This window comes from Homo sapiens, chromosome 8 (assembly GCF_000001405.40).
Source record: "Homo sapiens chromosome 8, GRCh38.p14 Primary Assembly".
Classification (NCBI taxonomy): domain Eukaryota; kingdom Metazoa; phylum Chordata; class Mammalia; order Primates; family Hominidae; genus Homo; species Homo sapiens.
In genome coordinates, this window is record NC_000008.11 from 130,724,320 (window position 1) to 130,728,882 (window position 4,563).

Here is a 4,563-nt window from a genome sequence, read left to right on the forward strand (position 1 = left end):
TTGAAGTCAGGTAGCCTGATACCTCCAGCTTTGTTCTTTTTGCTTAGGATTGTCTTGGCTATATGGGCTCTTTTCTGGTTCCATATGAAATTTAAAGTAGTTTTTTCTAATTCTGTGAAGAATGTCAATGGCAGTTTGATGGGAATAGCATTGAATCTATAAATTGCTTTGTGCAGTATGGCCATTTTCACAATATTGATTCTTCCTATCCATGAGCATGGAATGTTTTTCCATTTGTTTGTATCCTTTCTTATTTCCTTGAGCAGTGGTTTGTAGTTATCCTTGAAGAGGTCCCTCATGTCCCTTATAAGCTATATTCCTAGGTATTTTATTCTCTTTGTAGCAATTGTGAATGGGAGTTCATTCATGATTTGGCTCTCTGCTTGTCTATTGTTGGTGTATAGGAATGCTTGTGATTTTTGCACATTGATTTTGTATCCTGAGACTTTGCTGAAATTGCTTATCAGCTTAAGGAGTTTTGGGGCTGAGATGATGGGGTTTTCTAAATATATAATCATGTCATCTGCAAACGGAGACAATTTTACTTCCTCTTTTCCTATTTGAATATCTTTTATTTCTTTCTCTTGCCTGATTGCCCTGGCCAGAACTTCCAATACTATGTTGAATAGGAGTGGTGAGAGTGGGTATCCTTGTCTTCTGCTGGTTTTCAAAGGGAATGCTTCCAGCTTTTGCCCATTCAGTATGATATTGGCTATGGGTTTGTCATAAACAACTCTTATTATTTTGAGATATGTTCCATCAATACCTAGTTTATTGAGAGTTTTTAACATGAAGGGATGTTGAATTTTATCGAAGGCCTTTTCTGCATCTATTGAGATAATCATGTGGTTTTTGTCACTGGTTCTGTTTATGTGATGGATTACATTTACTGATTTGCATATGTTGAACCAGCCTTGCATCCCAGGGGTGAAGCCAACTCGATTGTGGCGGATAAGCTTTTTGATGTGCTGCTGGATTTGGTTTGTCAGTATTTTACTGAGGATTTTTGCAATGATGTTCATCAGGGATATTGGCCTGAAGTTTTCTTTTTTTTGTTGTGTCTCTGCCAGGTTTTGGTATCAGGATGACACTGTCCTCATAATATGAGTTAGGGAGAAGTCTCTCCTTTTCTATTGTTTGGAATAGTTTTAGAAGGAATGGTACCAGCTCCTCTTTGTACCTCTGGTAGAATTCAGCTGTGAATCTATCTGGTCCTGGGCTTCTTTTAGTTTGTAGGCTATTAATTACTGCCTTAATTTCTGAACTTGATATTAGTCTATTCAGGGATTTGACGTCTTCCTAGTTTAGTCTTGGGAGGGTGTATGTGTCCAGGAATTTATCCATTTCTTCTAGATTTTCTAGTTTATTTGCACAGAGATGTTTATAGTATTCTCTCATGGTAACTTGTCTTTCTCTGGGGTCAGTGGTGATATCCCCTTTATCATTTTTCATTATGTCTATTTGATTCTTCTCTATTTTTTTATTAGTCTGGCTAGTGGTCTATTTATTTTGTTAATTTTTTCCAAAAAAAAAAAAAAAAAAACAACAGCTCCTGGATTCATTGATTTTCTTGAAGGGTTTTTTGTGTCTCTATTTCTCAGTTCTGCTCTGATCTTAGTTATTTCTTGTATTCTGCTAGCTTTTGGATTTGTTTGCTCTTGCTTCTCTAGTTATTTTAATTGTGATGTTAGGGTGTTGATTTGAGATCTTTCCAGCTTTCTGACGTGGGCATTTGGTGCTATAAATTTCCCTCTTAACACTGCTTTAGCTGCATCCCAGAGATTCTGGTACGTTGTCTCTTTGTTCTCATTGGTTTCAAATAACTTATTTATTTCTGCCTTAATTTTGTTATTTACCTGGAGTAATTCAGGAGCAGCTTGTTCAATTTCCACATTTTCATTAGGCACTTGCTGGTTGGTGGGCATTTAGTCTGTTTCCATATTTTTGCAATTGCAAACTGTGCTGCTATAAACATGCATGTGCAAGTGTCTTTTTCACATAATGAAATCTTTCCTCTGGGTAGATACCCAGTAGTGGAATTGCTGGATCAGATGGTAGTTCTATTTTTAGTTCTTTAAGGAATCACTGTACTGTTTTCCATAGTGGTTGTACTAGTTTACATTCCCACCAGCAGCATAAAAGTGTTCCCTTTTCAACACAGCCACGTCAAGATCTATCATTTTTTCATTTTTAAATTATGGCCATTCTTGCAGGAGTAAGGTGGTATTGCATTGTGGTTTTGATTTGCATTTCCCTGACAATTAGTGATGTTGAGCATTTTTTCATATATTTGTTGTCCATTTGTATATCTTGAGAATTGTCTATTCGTGTCCTTAGCCCACTTTTTGATGGCATTATTATTATTATTTTTCTTGCTGATTTTTTTGAGTTCATTGTAGATTCTGGATATTAGTCCTTTGTTGGATGCATAGTTTGCAAATACTTTCTGCCACTCTGTGGATTGTTGGTTTATTCTGCTGGTTATTTCTTTTGCTATGCAAAAGCTTTTTATTTTAATTAAGTCCCATCTATTTATCTTTGTTTTTGTTGCATTTGCTTTTGTGTCCTTGGTCATGAACTCTTTGCCTCAATCAATTTCTAAAGGAGTTTTTCCAATGTTATCTTCTAGAAATTTTATGATTTCAGGTTCATTTCTGTTTTTTAAAAATTATCTAGTTTAGGTATTTTGTTATAGCAGCCCAAGTGGACTAAGAGAGTTACCATTTACTATTACATTATTAATGCATTTGTGCTTTTGAGATCTGTGTCTAAAGACCTGGTGGAAGTAGAGTGCTCCCTCCAAGGGCAGGGCTATGGAAATGCAGCCAATGCTTCCTCTCCAGGGCCTCTTCCCAACATTCACAATCTAATTTCAGAAATAAGCCCGAGGATAATTTGAAAAGTCCCATGAGTGTGTTGCAGGGCTGAGCATCAGGAAGCTCACTCTCTACCTTGATGCTAGCTCTAGGACTTTGAGCAAACCATTAAACCACCAGAGGATTCTCTTTTCTCTGCTTGGACTTACTTGTAGCACGTTGGAAGTAGAAAATGGATCATGATTAAAAACTACCACGTTGAAAAACTCTGCTGAAGGCTTGCCCTTGACACTTCGCTCCACATTCTCCCAGCCACAGTGACTCATCAGAAACAGAAACTGACCCAGTGCCAAAGCCAAGGCCAGTGGAGACATCGACTGGGGGAGATCTCCTTTGTTTGCTGGCCTTGAGAGCACAGCAGCTGTGCTTTCTAGGAAAGACAGGAATCAAGAATCTTAGAATCCCAGGGGTGGAAGGAACATGAGGTACCCTCAGTTCAGACCTTCATTCCAAGAAGGAAGGTGGCTGGGAAATTGCCAGCTCTTTGGATCCCTACAGTGATGAAGAGCTCCTTGCTTGTAAAAGCAGCTCATTCTATTGTTAGATGCTAAAGATTTAAAAGATTTTAAAATTTTGTTGTTTCATTCACTGACTCATTCGATTGCTCATTTATTGCTTCCCTTCTTTGCACCAGGCATTGCTTTAAGCACGAGAGATAAGTTGACGAGCAAAAAGGAACAAAATTAATGCCCTTATGGTTTATATTCTAGCAGAGGGACCATGTAAGAAACAGTAAGTACATAAGAATTACATGTTGGAGTGTGATAAATGCAATGTAAGGAAAATGAGAGTATAATATTAAAAGGGGTTTCAGAGTAGGTCTCCTTGAGAAGATCGTATTTTAGCAAAGATTTGAAGGGGGCAAAGAAATGAGCCATGAATCTGACACAGGCCATGCAAAGGTCCTGAGCCTGTTATGTTCAAGAAATAGCAGAGCTGATGTAGCTAGGGCAGAGTGAACAAGGGGATGAGGAAGAGATGAGTCAGAGTAAGGTGGGGCAGGCTGTGTACTAGCTTTAGGCTGTCATAAGTATATCACTTTTACTCTGATTGAAGTGGAAAGCTATGGGAGGGTTTTGGGCAGAGGCATGATATGATTTGATTTACTTTTTCACAGGATCCCTCTAGGTCCCTTTAAAGATTATAATACAGAAGGTAAGAGTGGGAGGAGTGTGATTAGTCAGGAAGCTATTGCAACAATCCAGGTGAGAGATGATATGACTTGGACAAAAGTGGTAGTAGTGGAAATAGCAAAAAAGCAGAATTCTGATTTAGTATTTGGAAGGTGGCACCACCACAATTTGCTGAGTGATTGAAAGTGGGGTGTGAGAGAAGGAGAAGGGTCAGGGATACCTTCAGTATCTCTGACTTAAGCCACTGGAAGGGTGGAGTTATCTTTAAATGACATAATGAGAACTGTGGTGGAAGCTGATTTTGTTTGAGGAGGGAGTTCAAACTTGGGCCAGAATAAAATTCACTTCCCTACAATTTTTACCACTGGCAACCGCTATTCTGGGACTGTTCCCGGAGAAATTCCTACCCTTCCTTTGTGTGGCTGTCCATTAGAATTAGAGCCAGCATGCCTGTTCTCTATGAATATTTTTCTCAGTTAAAGCATCCCCAAGCTGCTCCACCTATTTCTCATTCATTCATATATTTATTCACTCATTCATTCCTACTTATAATT

The 4,563-nt window shown here is 38.4% G+C and overlaps 1 annotated feature.

The window, feature by feature from the left end:
- Positions 2,893 to 4,092: an enhancer, noted in NCBI's record as "CDK7 strongly-dependent group 2 enhancer chr8:131739458-131740657 (GRCh37/hg19 assembly coordinates)". NCBI's record gives its function as "activates an origin of replication core promoter dependent on BRD2, BRD4, P300/CBP, MED14 and CDK7 cofactors, with strong dependence on CDK7, by STARR-seq in HCT116 cells {active_cell/tissue: HCT116}" and the evidence as "EXISTENCE:reporter gene assay evidence [ECO:0000049][PMID:35650434]".